Genomic DNA, 19,116 nt, shown 5'->3' on the forward strand with positions numbered 1-19,116 from the left:
ATGTTATTTATTCTAATATATATATGTACAGTCTTCATTAATATATTCTCTTATATATTCAATAAATGTGCTTAAATAGTATATTCTTTATATGGATGTATTTTTGGAAATAATTTAATATATTCATTGATACAGCACATTTGCAGATGCAATGAAGTTTTCAAAAATAATATTTTTGATACATAATTAAGACATTTTCATCTAACTTTTATACTGCATCAAGGCTAACATGATAAAAATTTATTTAGAGCAAAATGTGAAACTATTCAAGTGACATGTACAAGTAAAATCCTTAAAGATATAAGTAATGCCTTTTTCTCAACTCTATTTTCTTTACCCAGCACAACAGATGGCATTGGGGATGTTCACTGAATTTTAGTAGATAGAAAGGAGGAAAGAAGAAAGGGAGGGAGGAATAAAGAAAGGATAACAGGGAGTGAGTGAGTAAAGAAGAAATGTAAAAGGAAAGGAGAGAAAAGGAAAATACAGCAATAATTTCAGAAAATACCAGAGAATCTTTGCTGATTACATAGCCAATACTCAAAAGGCATGCATTTCTAGCACAAACTCTGTCATTCACTAGACATCAGTCCTTGGATAAGTTTCCGCATTTAGCTTGAGGATACCATCTACCCTCTCTCAGCACTGTGATGAGAATCAAATGGGATAATACTGTACCTTGTGAATTTTTAAACAATGGAAATGTGAGATATTATTATTTTTGAGGAATTTTTAAAACACATCAACAGCATTCCATTGCTGCTAAAATGTTTTTCAATAAGTTGCAATGGAGTAATAAGACCAAGATCATAAGACCCAAGAGTTTTAAGGTTATCTGAGCTGAGCAGTGTGCATCTAGCACAGAGTTTTTCAAAGGGACACTTATATAAACACTATACATCAGGGATTAAGAAAAGTTATACAAAATATGTTATTTGTGGAAGAATTGAAAATACTATGCTTGCTTGGCCTAGAGAAATGTAAATTTAGACAAGTTATGACACTAATATTAGAATGTTGAACTATATATATATATTTTGCTGCAGAAGTAGAGTGCAGGCTGATGAACAGATAGTACTCAGAAGCAGATCTCAATACCATAATAACTTTCCAATAATAAGAGCTGTCTGTGGTAGAAAGAATAATGGCCCCTAAGGATGCCCTGGTCCTAATCCCCAGAACCTGTGACTGTGTTACCTTATATGTCCAGCAGGATTTTGCAGATGTAATTAAGACTAAAGACCTTGAGATGAGGAGCTTATCCAGACAGGCTTAAACTAACTATATGCATCCTTAAAAGCAGAAAACTTTCCCGGCTGTGAAGAGAGGAAGACGTGACTATGTAAAAATAGTCAGAGAGACATCATGTTGCTGGCTTCAAAGGTGGAGGAAGGCAGGCGTGAGACAAAGAATGTAGGCAGCTTGTAAACGCTGGAAAAAGCAAGAATATTGACTATTCCCGTCCCCAGAAGGGAACACAGCCCTGCTGACACTTTGATGGACTTCTAATCTATAGAAGTATAAGATAATATAATAAATCTGCATTGATTAAGTCACCAATTATGGCAATTTTTTATAGCAGTAACAGGAAATTTATATACTGTCCAACCAGGAAAAGCTGCCTTAAAGGTGAGCAATGTATCTTCAGGGAGAGTCATCGAGAAGCTGTTAGAGTTAATGCTAAAAGTCATCTTGTAATGAAAGGGTGGGAATTGACAATAATTTAGTCCTACAACTTCTTTGATTTCCATGATTCTACAATTGAAGTAGGTTGGAGTCACTAAATCATAGCAGGCAGTAAAATGAACTGAGGAAGAAAGCCACACCCAGGGGACCTCAGTCCCTTTCAGATTTCCAAGGCAGTTCCTCAGGTTCAGTCAGTAATTGATCCCAAGGTTCAAGAAGTCATTTCTAGTTGTGGATCCATCCATTATTATAAAAAGAATTTACGGCTGGGCACAGTGGCTCACAACTGTAATCCTAGCACTTTGGGAGGTAGAGGCAGGTGGATCACTTGAGGTCAGGAGTTCGAGACCAGCCTGACCAATATGGTGAAACCCAGTCTCTACTAAAAATAAAAAAAAAAAAATAGCCAAGTATGGTGGTATGCACCTGTAATCCCAGCTACTCAGGAGGCTGAGGTGGGAGAATTACTTGAACTTGGGAGGTGGAGGTTGCAGTGAGCTGAGATGGTGCCATTGCAGTCCAGTCTGGGCAACAGAGCAAGAATCCATCTCAAAAAAAAAAAAAAATCTACAATTACATAGGCTACTGTTAGATCCTGCAATGGCTTTCATGGTGTTTTTAGGTTTTGAGGGGGAATAACTTTGGAGACAGGTATTCTTAGGGGGATGAATTAGTATGTCCAAATTCTGCTACCATCCCCAATGACAGATCCAAATTCAGTGGGAAACTCCAAAACCAACTTACTTTTTCAAGAGGCTCTAGAGATTAGATGGAGTGAAGACTCTAAAAATGTTCTGGGAACCAGATTGATAAGTGGTTAATAATTGTACAGAAGGAGAAGGCAGGGATGCATTTACATACTCTGCCAGCATCTCCCCATTGTCTACTTGTAAGCTATTTTAGGTACCTCCTGCTGGAGAGACCAAAATAGACCAAAATTATAATCAACATAACCGTCAAATTTTATTTCTAGATCCACAGCTAGAAGTAAATTATTAGTCCAAGATGGATATCACGAAAATCATTCATGACGTTTTTAAAGACATAAATTTTAGATTCTACCTTTACAGATTATGCCACAGGTCTAGAGCAAAACCAAGCTTTCTACAGTTGTAGGGAGCATCACAGATAAAGCTTATCCACAGCCCGAGTTGCACAGCACTGGAATGGGGTACTACGCTTACTTAGCCCTGTGTCTACCAAGAGTATATTTTCTGGCTTTTTTTCTTTGCCATCAAATATAAATAAGAAGACTTATGATCCTGCCTCGTTCATCCAATACCATCCAAATCCTTTCCTGGTTAAGAAACTCAGAAAAACAACCACTTAGGGCATCTAAGTCTCTTGGACACCAATCTGGATCCTCCCAACTCTCAAGATACGTTGCTCTTCTACTGATCTACTAATCTGTACTTCAAGGATTTATTTCCCCTATATACTTTACGATTTCACAAGTTAAACCATCTTTCCTTGAGTTACTTGACTTACACCTTTTTAAAGACTCATTTGTCCAGATGGAAGAATGAAATAGAAATAAAAGGGAAGGCCATATTCTTACCAAAAAGACAATGTTGGTGTTTTGATACAGCGCTCGTGCCACACAGATTCTCTGCCTCTGTCCCCCACTCAGGTTGATGCCCTAGAGAAGAGACACCCCCAAATACCCATTTTTTAATATTAGTAAATGATCTTTTGGTAATATGACCTTAAATTACAAACGTCTTTTTAAAAATCTTAGATTGATAGTAACTTGTTAATTAAATTGTAGTAACATTGGTAAGAAAACATGGAAACTGTCTACTGGCCAACAGTTCTCAAAATAATCAAGATGGCTTCAGGCTGATATGGTTAATCTTCCTTTCACTCTAATAGAGATCTCTGCTGTACAGAAGCATTAATAACCAAAACACTTGCTAGGAAATGCGAGCAATTCCAAGATTTTTTCTTGTTTACTGAGTTGTGTCTGTAGTTTACTTAACATACAACCCAAATTTGATATTATGAGTTATGTGAAAGAGTACTATCCAAGAGTATGCTTTCATAATAAAGTACCACTTACACTTTAAAAAAAAAACTAGTATTAATTGACCTCTTAGTATGTGCCAGACTTGTGCAAATGGCTTTACATTTTTAAATTTCTCTTATTCTTCATAGCAATTCCAAGATGTAGGTATTGTTTTAATTTTACACATGTGGAAACTGAGGCTCACAGAACTTAAGTCCATTCTCATACACACTGCGGTATGTAGCAAAAAAGAACAGCCATTAAGAACAAAGGCCACAGAGCCAGACTAATCCTGGCTACACCACTACCTTGGCAACTGTGCAAGTTCCTTAACCTCTCTCAGCCTTGATTTTTGCAGCTTCATATGCAGATAACGATAACACCCATAACACAGATTTGTTGTGAAAGTAGATAATGCATATAAAGTTTGTGCCCAGGACTTACAACGATTAAAACATTGTAGACGTTGTTGTTCTAAAGATTATAGGTATAACTATTTTTCAGCTTGTCTGAATAATATGACATCAATGCAAAACATGGTTACACAAAGAAAAAAGAGCACTTTAATAAGAATAAACAGATTTTCAACAAGGTTGGGAGAAGCTATGGAAAGTAATCTTAGTTTCAAACCTATTACAGCAAGCTCCACGTAAGCAAAAATGCATTTGGTCAAAGCCAGGAACTATGTTTCACCTTTCTTTGAGAACTCTTAAGTGACTAGTACCATGTTAAGTATACAGTGATTACTCAATAAATATTAATACGTAAGAAAGAGTGGCATCAAAGGACTCCCATCCTTGGTTTTCTGGAACTTCTTACTGGGACAACATACAACTCCTAAGCTCTCAAATTTCATGATTCTCTATTAAAGATTAAAGACAACCAGAAGACTTTTCTAGATTTTTGTTCATTGCTTAATGAAACTATATATAGCTCACCCTCTCTCCAATTTCAGTTTGATCTCCAAATGGTAATAAGTCAATATCTGGCTGAAGAGAACAGGCATCTGTGACAGCTTTGTACCTTTGGGAGAAATGATTTTGAATTTTTAGATCTCAATTAATACATTGTCCATAAACTAAGTGCCAAATTCAATACTTTGGAAGTTGAAATAAAACATTTGCTGAATCACTTATTATATGCCAGCCTCTGCTCTACATTTCTGGATACAAAGATACATAAGTACTACTTCCCCCCCCTTTTTTTTTTTTTTTTGAAGACAGAGTCTTACTCTGTCACCCAAGCTGGAGTTCAGTGGCACGATCTTGGTTCACTGCAACCTCTGCCACCTGGGCTCAAGTGATTCTCCCGCCTCAGCCTCCTGAATAGCTGGGATTACAGATGTGCACCACCATACCCAGCTAATTATTTTGCATTTTAGTAGAGACAGGGTTTCACCATGTTGCCCAGGGTGGTTTCGAACATCTGAACTTAGGCAATCAGCCTGCCTCAGCCTCCCAAAGTGCTAGGATTACAGGCGTGAACCACTACGCCCAGCTGGGTTCCGACTCTTAAAAAGCTAGTTCACGGAGCAGAAGACTGATACAAAAATATACGATGAAAGTTTACCTTGTTAGGTATTATAGTGGAAGTGAGTATAAAGCACTCCTAGAACACAAATGAAGAAATGACTGACCATTCTGAGAAGTATCAGAGGAGGCAAAGCTTAAACTGTGTTCAGAAAGTTGAGTAGTAAGTTTTCAGGAAGAAAATGAGTAACGAAGTTTAAGGAACTTGAGAAAGTAAAAAAGTTCATGATGAATGTAAGGGACTGCAGGAGGTTCATTATGGCTAAAGCAGAGGTTGTGAGTGGGCGCCCTTCCACACTGTCATGCATGCTGAAGAGAGGAGACAAGGGAGATAGTGAGGACTGACAGTCCTCAAGTTCATATAAGGCTGGGACTGGAAATCAGATGAACTGGAAGTACAAGGAAGCATGGGGATTGAAGATGCTGGGGGAAATGGCAATGATTTTATTTTCTTAATCAGTTCATCTTAATGTAGTAGAGTCATTCTTCATTCTTCCCTCTTCTTCTTCCTGTTGATATCTGTCCATTGTTGTTCTTCAATTTTTTTTTCTCAACCATCCCTTCTTTTATATTTCTACCGTCATTCCTAAGTGTAGGCAACACACACTGCATGCCTGGATAATTATTCCAACTGACTCCTAAATGTCTCCATATATATGTATATATGCACATATGTGAATCTGTATATATAGAATGCACATCATTGTAGCCAATTGGCTTTTAGGCCCCCCAACTATCTGGTCTCAGCCTCCTGAATCTTTCTGTCTGGTTTGCTCCAGGTCCTAAAGGTTTTGTCTTTCATATGGTCTACTTTTCTCCTCCCTCCCCCTTCCTCTTGCCTCTCCACTTACTTTATTCTCCTTAATTTTCAAGACCCAGCTTATGGTCCTAAGACCCACGCTTGCAAGAGTGGCTCAGGGAAAGGGTCATACCTTCTTATGTGGTGGTGGTATTTAAAAGATGCTTGAAAGATGGTGTATTCTGGCTGTTCCCAGTCACCAGACCCCTCAGGTCCTATATTCTTCTTCTTTTCACAATTAAACTTCCTTTGTGAAATTTACTTGAATTTTTCCTTCTCTATCTTCTCACCAACAACCTAAGCAACACATCCTCACTCTTACCCTCCCCACCCCACACACATACACACTTCAATTGCTGTTTAGTTTTGGTGTACAAATTGTTCTCAATAAGGGTCCAAGATGGGCTGGAACTTCCAGTGAGGCTTCTCTTCAAAGAATTGATTCAAAAGACCTTGGTGATGAGGATGAAAACGGGGCCAGCAGGAAAGAAAATACCAGATGTAAAGGTTCCAGAAACCATTGTTCATTCCCAAACACACGAGTCAGAAAGAGTTGCCATTTTGGTTCTAAATTTTATATGCTCAAAATTACCTCTGTTTGTTAAAAGGACTTCCAAAAGTAATATTTTCTTCTACTGTAGCATTTAATAGCCAAGGCTTTTGAGCTGCATATGCCACAGAGTACCTGTTCCTACTGAAAAATGAAAAAGAAAAAAAAAAACACCAGGATTATGCAAAGGTACTGTGCGTGTATGTATTTTACTATAAATAGGGGAAATAAAATTAGTAAACTATCTCAGATACAGAAATGGAAAACTTCTAAAAGAGAAAAATTTAAAGACCACCAACCTTATTAAGAAATGATTAAATATGCCACCTAAATTAAAGGGATTAGGATTTAATCAAAATGTCACATGTATAAAGTTTGGTTTTCTACACTGAAGAAGTGTTTTATGGTCTAAACAACTAATTGAAATTTCCTTTTCTAAAATGACTATAATTTTTAAAAAATAATTAAAAGATTATAGCTACAGACATTTTACTTTATACTAATAGCACTTTATTAACTATAAATTCTACATGCAAACTTTAAGATGTTAATTGATACTGTAATTATTGTATGGCTTTGTGGCTTAATCACATTAACATATTTTATGGTAATAGATAATATGTAAATATTTCAAAACAAAGAATATCTTAAGGAGTCCCTGAAACTTTCAATATTGAAATCGTGCATGTAAAAACTGCATATTTCAAAATATATTGAAATCGCTTATATTTTAAAAATAACTACCTCCCCCCTTTTGACTTGCAAATTCTACCAGATGTCTATACATCAGACTTTAATTTCCAATAGTTAGGAAAATACATGTGAGCTGAAGAGAATGATGGGAAGGGCAGGTCAGTTTAAAAGTCAGATTTCCACAGTTAGTTCATGATCTGTAAAGTACTGATGAAGGAAATAGGGTTAAAAGAGAGCAAGGTTAAAAAAGAGAGTAGCTAGAAATGTTCAATGATCTTTCTAAAACATTACGTCTTAGGAGTGTAGAAGACATGATACTATATAGTATGCTAGCAGTCTCTGAGATAATCATATGCAGAGTAAAACAATGGTTCCCAACCTCTGACATGCCTGCTTTCCCCCCCACCCCACTCAGCTCTTTAAGGTTTTTGTTTTTGTTTTTCCTTTTAAGTAGATAAAGCACTTGGCTCTTCATCTCTACCTTACAGATGGATCCCATCACTGTTCAACTCATAATCAATATATGTATTAATTCTTACATTTTTATTTTATGAAATCCCAAACCCAGTTTACTGAGGATAGTTTGAGTTTCAGCCAAAGTTGGGACACGTGTGACTCAGTGAGAGGAAAACAGTTGACACAAGGAGCCACTTTGTTTGGTAAATTAGTTCTTTTAGCAGCTTGTCAAGGTTGCGAACCACTGCTGTTGGAAATATGCTAGCACACTTTAATAAATAACTATACATTATCAGAGTAAGCAAAATGAGATTAAAGAGATTAAAGTCTGAGGAAGGAAGTTATTCTTATTAAACTCAGGTTAAAATAGAAATAATACCTTCTGGTTGCTTCAAAAGAAGGCTCAGATTCATTTACACTGCAAGTATGGCAAACAATGTTCATTAATTATGAAGTAGAAATATAGAACCAATGTGCATACACGTCAGGTAAGAGATACAATAAACACTGGACATATTAAAGAGCACATTTCCCAAATGGTTTCTGATATTAATTTCAAAGACAAACCAGATAAGTAGTATTCTTCTTTATGTCTTCATCAGCTAGGAAATAATTGCTTAGTAAGCTTCTAAAACATAGATAGCACTGTTCTCTTTCATAAAAATTTTGGTTCATACAATGACTGGGTTCTAGTGCTAACCCTGCTCCAAACAGCTGTAAACTTGGGGAATCCCTCTAGAATACAGTTTCCCGTTTCATAAGGACTCTGTATTTCCAAGGCCTTCCAACCTTTAAAATTTGAATTCAATAAATTTAAATTCCAAATTAGCTACCCTAAGGTAGCAGCAGAAATACTTTTTGGGCACTAAACACGAAAGATACACAAAACACACTGGCCCCTCAGGAGCTTGTAAGAAAAACAGACATGCACCAGAAACCAAACTACATCTAAGTAGAATCAATTATTGATATGATTTATGTAAAAAGTGGGCTTTGGTCACAATTTGTTATGCCTGTATTATGAGGAAAGACACCTGAAGACCTATTTCTTTTATTGTTCTAATTTTTTATAATTTAGGGTCAGTTGAATTCAATAACATACACATTACAGACGTGAATTCAATAACCATACAAATAATTAAAGCCTACAGAAACTCCAAAAATTGATTCTATTTGACTTTGCAAAATGTTGTATGTTTTTGTGGAGAAAATTTACCTAATTATGCTACCTAATGATATTTGGTTTAGAGTTACTAAGGATCATTTTCACTACTGCACACTGCTAATGACATCTTGGGATGGCTGACAGAGGCAAAAAAGGCAACCTCAGACTAAAAATTTCCTCCCAATAATAATTGTTCCCTGATTTAAGTTACTGATAAAAAATAGGGAAATGATCATTTTTATGAATAATATTTTCCACGCAATATGCTTTAGATAACAAGAAATTTGGACTTTGTTTTCTGTGGTATAAATCCAATGGGTGACCTCACTAGTTTTAACTAATTTGAGGAAGACAGGGAAGAGAGAAGAGTGAGTATGTGGCAGAAATGAATGTGTTAATTTGTATTCTGGCCATTCAAGTGGAAATGCCCATTAGACATGTGTAAATACCTGTTGGACATTTGAGAATGTCAGCCCAACGCAGAGATATGGATTAAGAATTCATCAATCTATTCAATAAAGGTTGGTTAAATTCCGACTCTATTTATTCAGTATCAGTTAAAAAATATGCATTGATCACTTCCTAGTGCCACACGTTAGAGATACAGCAAACAAGAAAGATCCACTCCTTCTTTCACACCACTTTCACTTTTGTGGGAGCATAATAAGGGAATAAGGGCTGAGACAGGTGGGGTAAAAGATGGTAGTAGGGCACTGATCAAGAACCAACAACCAAAAACAAAGAAGCAAAGAACCAGAGCACCAAGCCACTTTTAGCAAATCAGAGTAAACAATAGAGTTGATGTCAGAGGGAAAATTAAGAGTGTGCTAGATGAAAAAAAAAAAAGCCAAGAGTACTTCAGACCAGAGAAAATATGTATTAGAAGGCCATGAGGTATCCTGATTACACAAAGAAGTGATGTATATTCAGCATGGCTGAAATGTAGGTGTAAATGGCAATGAACTTAAAAAGTAAGCACAGCCAGATAATGAAGGGGCTCATAATCCATTTTATAGAGCTTGAACTTTTCCTAAAAGTAAAAGAAAACTACTGAAAAAGGTTTAAACAAGAGAGAGATACAGGTTCAATTTAGAAATATCACTGTGATCACAGAATGTAACAACTGAACTAGAGGGAACAAGACTGGAGATCATAAAAGAAATCCTTTGCCAACCTCACAGATTTGACTCAGTCAAGTCACCTATAATCGTTCTTATAAAACACTGTACTTCTTCCTAGTCTTTATAAAACATTAATAAAATAACCATAAAATTATTTTCTTACTTCCTCTTGGTTTCCCCTGCTAAACAGTAAGCTTCATGAAAATAGGGGCCTGCCTTCTCTTGTTCACTTATTTCTCCCCCAACTTAGAACTAATACAATGATTTGCATATAAATGGTGTGCAACAAATATTTTTTAACAAATTAATAAATGCAAGGGTCACGGAAACCAAGAAGCCAAGTTGATTTCAAGGAGTCGTCGATGGGTGAAGAGTTTCAAAATCTATGGAGAAGTAGGACTGAGGACAAATTATTGGGAGTTAGCACTTAGGCAGTCATTGGTGAGACCCTCTCATCCAGGTTGCAATGCACAGAGTAAAAGAGAAGAACAGAGGTTAAGTGTGGGTGGACTAGGTCGTTAAAAAGAGAAATGTTCCAGTTGATTGAGAGATAAGAAAGACCATTATTTAAAAAATGGGTGGGGAATAATGGAGTGTGAAGAGCAATAAATAAAGACATTTATAAGAGAAAAGGGTTAATTAATGCAGTAAGGTCCTGAAAAAAGCAAAACAGCACATAGGGGATCTTCACTTCTGAAAACCTCTCCTTGAAGGATTTACGTATATTTTCCTTTTCTTTCAGAGAAAGAAAAAAAGAGGTAAACTTAGACTCATTTGTAGGTAATCATCTTCCAAAAACAAATTAACCCATTATTTCACTAACATTTTTATGAATAATGTTATAATCCTTAACTTCCAGAGACTACCTATTCCGGCCCTCTCACATATCAATATGTTTAATCAAATTCAGTTGTGGAAGGTTATATAATTTCTCTTCCAAAATAAAGAAGTAGATTTAGCTCTGTCTAGACTCATCCTCCACCATTCAATGTGGTACTCTACAGCACTCAAGACAACAGGAGAATGCAAAGAGGTCATATAGAAAATCCCCTTCTAGAAAACAGAATAAAGTTTCACTTCTGAAAACCTCTCCATGTAGAATTTGTGTGTATTTTCCTCCCAGAGTAAAAGTTAAAGTCGACACAGTGTATTAGCAACTTCCAAGTATTATGGTTAATAATATTATGGAATGGGAGAGTGACTTTTGCAAATTTAAATCAGGAATGACATTTGGAAGAAGGGAAACTAGATGCTGGCACAAACATGATATATTACATCTGACCCAGGAAAGCTGACTTAATATTATTATTCCTTCATGCCAGGAAAGTCACATGAAAAGGAATATTTCCTCCATTTGTCTGAAAATAATTGAAGCACTGTTACAAAGCTGATTACACTAAGATGTTGGGAGATAGAATGTCAGGACAGAAGGGGCCTGAAGAGGAGGATGGTTGATGGCATGGGTGAGAGGGAAAAGAAAAAAAAAAAAAAAGGAAAACAAAGATAAATGACAAGCTGTTTCTCACATCATTACCACCACAATTAAAAAGCATTCTGGACACTCCTCTGAAACTATTCATCAGATAAGGCATTTTAGTTCTAGCTCCTAAGATATCAGTAGAAATTATTGTTTATCATGACAACCAGGAAAGGACTTCAGTCAGGCAGAACATTTGTTTTTCAACAAATATGAAGCACACTTGGATGCAAGATTGATGTGCACATTGGCATTCTGACAATTTTGGAGAATTTTTTTCATTCCTCTCTCCTCTCTCTCATCTTTTCTCTTCTGGGTCTACAATATGTCAGACTAGGTCAAAGGAAGCAATTCCCAAGGAAACAACTATCGGCATCTGTATGTTCCACGTTCTACCCACACAGGTGTGTGCTGGATGAACAACAATGCCTTTTCTCCGGCCCAAAGTAAATATTTCCTGCTGCAGTAGGTCAGAGTACTTTACTCGATTTTGTTCATGCCTGTGCATGAGGACACATTCAAAAATAAAATTTATGGCCGGGCACGGTGGCTCACGCCTGTAATCCCAACACTTTGGGAGGCCGAGACAGGCGGATTATGAGGTCAGGAGATCGAGACCATCCTGGCAAACACGGTGAAGCCCTGTCTCTACTAAAAATACAAAAAATTAGCCAGGCATGGTGGCAGGCACCTGTAGTCTCAGCTACTCAGGAGGCTGAGGCAGGAGAATGGCATAAACCCAGGAGGCCGAGCTTGCAGTGAGCCAAGATCATGCCACTGCACTCCAGCCTGGGCAACAGAGTGAGACTCTGTCTCAATAAATAAATAAATAAAATTTATGCAATCAGAGACACATGTAATGGTGAAAGAATGATAGCAAAGTATTTGGTGTCTTACCATATCATTTAGTTTATTGTTTTGGTTTGTTTTGAGCTTTAAAAAAAACGAATTCAGTCTGTTGAAGTAAAGGACTTCTAAGCATTTACACAGCAGCAGCTTATGAATATCAATAATTTCTAAATTAGCTTAGCTTTAATTAATAGTTATATGCCTTTATTGGACTGGGCATACAGCTTTTGTTTCTGGAATGAAAAGAGTAATTACAAATAACTCTTTAAAAGAATGTCAGTATCCTCTGAATCTTCTTGATCCTAAAATATGTTTTATCAGATATTAAGGATATTATGAAAAAAATAAGTAATTCTTTTAATTAAATAAAAATAGAATTTGCATTAACTTATTCAATCTATTAGAATATTACATTTTCATTTGTTTGTGTGTTGAACCAACTTAAACATTTTTGAAGAAAACTTCGGTCCTTTCTGCAGCGAAGAGATAGCATTGTTGTCTAGTAAGGCAAATGCTCATAAAAAGATAATTTTTAGGTTACAGGAATTTTATAAATACTCAGAATTATCTCAATTTCCTTCTTACACTTTCATCCTGCTGGCTGACTCCAAAGTATATGCTGAATCTATTCACTTTGGTTCATTCCACAGCTACCATGTTACATCAAACTACCTTCATCTCTCATCTGAATTAGTGAAATGAACTCTTAAATGGTTTCCCGCACTTTCCCTCTTGCCTCTGTAATTCATTCTTCACACCACAAGTCCGAATCATTTTTTCAAATTGTACATCATATCTTTGCAAAAATGTAAATCACTCCTCTACTTAAACTTCTACAATATTTTCCCACTGAACTTAGAACAAAATCTTAACTCCACAGCATACCCAGAATGCTTTCCTCCTTTTCCAGGTAGCCTCAGCTTGCACCTGCATCAGTCAGTATTTACCAGCCATTCTAGACCCTTTTAGGATCCTCAAACACACCTCACAGGTATAGTACCTTTACTATATTGCCTTGTTTTATCATTGTCACAGCATTTATCAAAGTCTAATATTATGTCTTTTTCTTGTTGATTACTTATACACAGGCCACATTCTAGACTGTAACCGCATGAGATAGAGACTTGTCTTGTCTTGTTCAATTCTATATCCTTGATACCTAAATCAGTGTTTGGCATGAAGGAGGTACTCAGTAAATGTTGAATGAAAAAGAAAGGACTAAGAAATAAAATATCTGTATTCCATACTAAACATGGAAGATGGTCCAACTGATGTACAATTTATGTATTTTTCCAAGTGTAGTTAATTTCATTCCTGGATCAAACTAGATGTTGAAGATCTGCATACTTAGACTGTGTTGTTCTGATACTACCCATACCACATCCTTCACCCCCTCCTGCCTGCCCTCTAAACCTTCACATAACATTTATTATATAATCTATAATCTAGTATTATATTCTGAATTTTATTTGTAATAATTGGCACATGGAATTTACTTTTGAATAAATTTTAGGAATATTGAAGACATTAAGAATTAACCTTTTATTGACTTTTTATAAGGTATATGGAAGATATTTCTTTAGTTTTTTGTTTTTTTTTTTAAGAGAAATGGTCTCACTCTGTCGCCCAGGCTGGAGTGTGGTGGCACATTCACAGCTCACTACAGACTCAAACTCCTAGGCTTAAGAGATCTTCCTGCCTCAGTCTCTCAAGTAACTAGGACTACAGGCATGCATCACCATGACCTGCTTATTTTTAAATTTTTTTGTACAGATAGGGTCTCACTATGTTGCCCAGGCTGGTCTCGAACTGCTGGTTTCAAGTGATACTCCTGCCTCAGCATCCCAAAGTGCTGGGATTATAGGCATAAACCACAGCTGGGCAGATTTCTTTCACAGCTCTCTCCAAAAAGAGAAAATCAATCTCTACTGAGTAAATGTTTCTGTTTTTTTCCTCACGTTTCCTTCTTTGCCTAGCTTTCATGAAGTTCAGAAATTTGTGGCCCATATTTTATAATTATACAGGACTTCAGTACATGCATTTCTGTCTATTACAACTTCAGATGATTATTTAAACAATATTTAAAAATTTTCTTTATCTTTCAAACTCTACTATGTTATTTTAAATAAAACAATACAAAACTTTATGAAATAAGATACAATATAAATCGTATACATGCTTAGGAAAGCAAGAAAATAAATAGGTTATAAAGAATATTTTCTGCATCCTCACATCATTTCTTTATTCATTAACACAATGATAATTATGAATGATAATATTGGGGGTCAATTTAGCTCAAGTGGGGCTGGGGCCTGGAAAGTTAAATTACACTTGGAACAGGCCAGATTAGGAGATCTTCCTGGTAGTATGAAAATAAAATCTCAAGCCTTTTCTGTCACTGTCATTCTTTCTCTCTGTTTTAATGATGGTAAATCAGGATAAAAACAAAACCCAAATAACTTAATTATGGTTGTACAAGCTACACAATGTAATTAAATCCAGTGGGATCTACTTCTTCATCCAAGATAGAAGTGACAGTGGCTAGGGGAACATCATCTAGTGCCTGAGGTTAGTGACTGACACCATCTACTGCCTGAGGATAGTGGCAGGGGAAACCTTGTCTAGTGCCATGAAGCAAACTGAGGTAGCAATGTTTCACTGAGCTCTCTGCTGGGTATGCGCTAAACAGTTGCAAGGCTATCTGCTAGATTTGCTCGACAGGGATAAAATGTACACTCAACAATTCTCAGTCTTCTTCTTTTGCCAATGACACTGAAAACAGGATTTACACTTCTAATTTCAGTCTGAATTTCACAACCAAGAATTTTTTTTTCTTAATTGGAGTTTAAAATAAAATCTACTCTTAAAAGGCCCATAGTCTTCTCATTCTTGAGAGATGTCTGTGTATGTAAACAGCAAACTCAGCCACGGTGGAATTCATGATAGTAGATACAAAATGATATGAAAGAACATCTGTGGGTTTCCCAACCTCAGCACAATTGATATTTGGGACAAGAGAATCCCTTGGTATGGGAGCTGTCCTGTGCACTGTAGGATGTTAGCAGCATCCCTGGCCTCTATCCACCAGGCCAGTAGCAACCCAATGCTTCAGTGTAAAACCAAAAATGTCTCCAGACATTGCCAAATGTCCCCGGGGACAAAAATCACACCCGTTTGAGAACCACTGGTCTATAGCCTAATTTCTTAGATCAGCTGTAGCCAGTGTATCCATAAACTACTTACGAGGAGTCTACTAAGTAGGCCAAACTAAATAAGTATAATTTACTCTTTATTAACCAATTATGTAACATATTTCTGAATCACTTTATTACCACAATGTGCTTTGACCACCATTCAAATATCTAGAAGAAACATCATGCTGGAAGCAATCATTCAAATGTCTGGAAGATGCACTTTCTTTTCCATGTCTTTAGAATTGCACTAATCAAAGCTATTCATATCTCCAACTAGACGCTTCTAGTATCTAGTTTAAGTATAAGGATAAATAGTTGATTTTCACTTTCTTATACAGATTTTGGAAAAGATCATTTGATATTTCTTCTCTGAACATTGAAACTTTAAGGCACTGTTTCTATTTAAGCCTTATAAATAATGCACATTTTCCATAACTTATTTTGTTATAGAATAAACTTTTAAGTTATTTCTTGAAGTGTTACCCATTTAACTTTAAAAACCTATCTTTACAATCCCATCCTTACTTTTGTCTCAGCAATATACTAGTTTATACTATTATAAACAACCTTTGTAATAAATTGTTTTGTAACTTTTTATTTATGACTTTTAAGGTTTCCATCAATTTTTTTTTTAAAGCTGTGCTTATTTCTGCGTGGTCTTCAGAGTCAGAACATGTAAATGTATTTGTCTAAGTTCTTTCCTTGGAAGATTATCAGATGTATGACATAGCAATGGAAGCCAACTAAAAATATACATACTTGCTCCAGTGAACTTTTCCTTCCAATGTCTGCATCTCACCGAGGATGGCAAGGAGAAGAGAGGACTTCCCACATCCTACTTGGCCCACAATCATGGTTAACTGACCTAGGAAAGCAAAACAAAGGATAACTACAGAATGAGATGGATTCTTGGTGAAATAACATCAAAACACATTTAGAAAAAGCTAATGTTTTACAATCAATGGCCCAGTTTTGATCTCCAGCAGTAAGGTATTCTAAACAGCTCCTTTCTCTGATAAGTCTTTTTGGAAAAGGAAAAATATATATATATATAATGATTTATTATTTTTAAAACTATGAAAATAGCTGATAGCAGTAAAGAAAGTAATGAAATAATTGCCTAGATTATCGAGATTAGTTTTAACTTTAATATTCAATTCATTCAGAATAAAAAGGGCAGTTTTGATGAAAATAAATAATTGTGATAACTCTCTTCTCCAATTTCTATTTGAAGAAGAGAGTGTCTTTGCATTTATAATAGAAAAATCTGTTCCTATTATAAATTTGTTTTGCATTTATAATAGAAAAATCTTCACCTAATGACCTGGCATAAGGCCAGGTCAAAAATATTTCTATTCAATTATAGAGACATTTTAAGGAAAAATTACTGGGTTTATTCCTAAATATTTTATTCTTTTTGATGCTATTGTGGATAGTATTGTTTTCTTAATTTGAGATAGTTTGTTGTTAGCATATAAGTACTTGGAAATAAAACTAACCAAGGAAGTGAAAAACATATACACTGAAAACTATGACATTGGTGAAATTAACACAAACAAAAAAAATGAAAAGACTTCTGGGCTTAGGGTCTGGAAGAATTAATATTGTTAAAATGTCCATACTACCCAAAGCAATCTACAGATTCAATGTAATCCTTATCAAAATCCCTACAGCATTTTTTACAGAAATAGAAAAATCAATTCCAAAATTCATATGGAAAGAGTAGACCCCAAATACCCAAAGCTATCTTAAGAAAGCAGAGCAAAGCTGGAGGTATCACACTTTTTGCTTGCAAAATATATTACAAACCTACGGTAATCAAAACAGTACGGTACTTGCATAAAGACAGATGCATATATCAATGGAACAGAAGGGAGAGACCATAAATAAACCCATACATATACAGTCAACTGATCTTCAGCAAGGGGTTTCAACAAACTGGATATCTACACACAAAAGAATAAAATTGGAGCCTATACTACACCATACACAAAAATCAACTCAAAATGGATTAAAAACTTAAATGTCAGACCTGAAACTATAAAAATCCTTAAAGAAAGAACTTCTTGGCATTGAACTTGGCAGTGATTTCTTGGATTTCACACCAAAGCACAGGCAATAAAACCAAAAATAGATAAGTAGAACCACATCAAACTAAAGAGCTTCTGCACAGCAAAGGAAACAACAGAATGAAAAGGAGACCTACGGGATGAGAGAAAATATTTGCAAACTATCTACCTGATAAGAGGTTAATATCCAAAATATAAAATACAAAAAAAACTAAAACAGAAATGAAACAAATAATCCAATTTAAAAATGGGCAAAGAACCCGAATAGAGATATTTCTTCAAATAAGAAGTACAAATGGCCACCAGGTATATATAAAATGGCATTCAACAACACTAAACATCAGGGAAATGCAAATCAAAACCATAATGACTTATCACCTCACACCTGTTAGGATGGCTGTAATAAAAAAACATGAAAGATAAAAAGTGTTAGTGAGGATGTGGAGAAACTGGTACCCTTACACACTGTTGCTGGTAATGTAGAATTGTGCAGCCAACAATGGAAAACAGTATAGAGGTTCCTCGAAAAACTAAAAATAGAATTGCCATATGATCCAGCAATCCCACTTCTGGGTATTTATGCAAGCGAATCAGAATTAGGGTCTCAAAGAGATATCTGCTCCCCCATCTTCATTGTAGCATCATTCACAATAGCCAAGATACTGAAACAACCCAAATGTCCATTGACAGATGAATGAATAAAGAAAATGTGGTATATATATGCAATGGGATATTATTCAGTGTTATAAAAAGAAGGAAATCCTGCCATTCACAACAACATGGATGAACCTAGAGGACATCACAGAAGGACACCACAGTCACAGAAGGAGAAATACTGTATGATTCTATTTCTAGGAGGTATCTAAAATTTTGACTCTTTTAGGTATTTTAACTAATTTAGTCAAAATTTTAGACACTTCTTCTCACAGAAACGGAAAATAGAATTGTGGGTTCCAGGAGATGGGGGAAAGGGAAAATGGGAAATTGTTGTTCAATAGTTATTACTGAATTTCAGTTATGTGAGATGAATAAGTTCTAGAAATCTGCTGGTCAATATAGTACATACGATTAACAATATAGTACTGTGTACTTTAAAATGTGTCAAGAGGATAAGTCTCATGTTAAGTGTTCTTCCCACAAAAAATAAAATAAAAGCAGAAGAACACAAGGAAATTTTTGGTAGCGATTGCATATTGAATACCTTTATTGTGGTGATGGTTTTCACAGGTATACACATATGCTCAAACTCATCAAAATGTAAGCATTAAATATGTGCAATTTTTATGGATCAATTACACTTCAATAAAACTTTTTAAAAATATTAAATACATATAATTATTGGATATTTAAATTTTAAGTATCTTGAAAACTTCATCAGTATTTCTCGCAAACAGAAAATAAGTTTCTCATATACTCTTTCTTTAAAGTGTTTCTCAAACAAAAAGTGAAATCAACCACCCCACTGTTTAAATTGCCCAAATCAGCAAATGAACAGTAAATAATTGTCCAAAGGTATAGACGCC

The 19,116-nt window shown here is 35.5% G+C and overlaps 1 protein-coding gene across 8 annotated transcripts in view; it reads right to left on the reverse strand.

Moving 5' to 3' along the window:
• ABCC9 (ATP binding cassette subfamily C member 9) overlaps nt 1–19,116 on the reverse strand; it is a 144,038-nt gene that overhangs the window by 58,953 nt on the left and 65,969 nt on the right. For 5 of the 8 annotated variants that reach the window (XM_005253288.5, NM_020297.4, NM_005691.4 and 2 more), the window contains 5 exons: nt 16,284–16,389; nt 8,098–8,136; nt 6,612–6,713; nt 4,630–4,714; nt 3,245–3,325 (listed from right to left, as the gene is read on the reverse strand). In XM_005253288.5, the coding sequence (XP_005253345.1) occupies nt 3,245–3,325; nt 4,630–4,714; nt 6,612–6,713; nt 8,098–8,136; nt 16,284–16,389 (413 nt within the window). The remainder of the gene's footprint in view (nt 1–3,244; nt 3,326–4,629; nt 4,715–6,611; nt 6,714–8,097; nt 8,137–16,283; nt 16,390–19,116) is intronic. The other 3 variants (NM_001377274.1, XM_005253289.5, XM_005253290.5) reach the window with 3 other exon arrangements.

Source organism: Homo sapiens, chromosome 12, assembly GCF_000001405.40.
Source record: "Homo sapiens chromosome 12, GRCh38.p14 Primary Assembly".
NCBI lineage: Eukaryota > Metazoa > Chordata > Mammalia > Primates > Hominidae > Homo > Homo sapiens.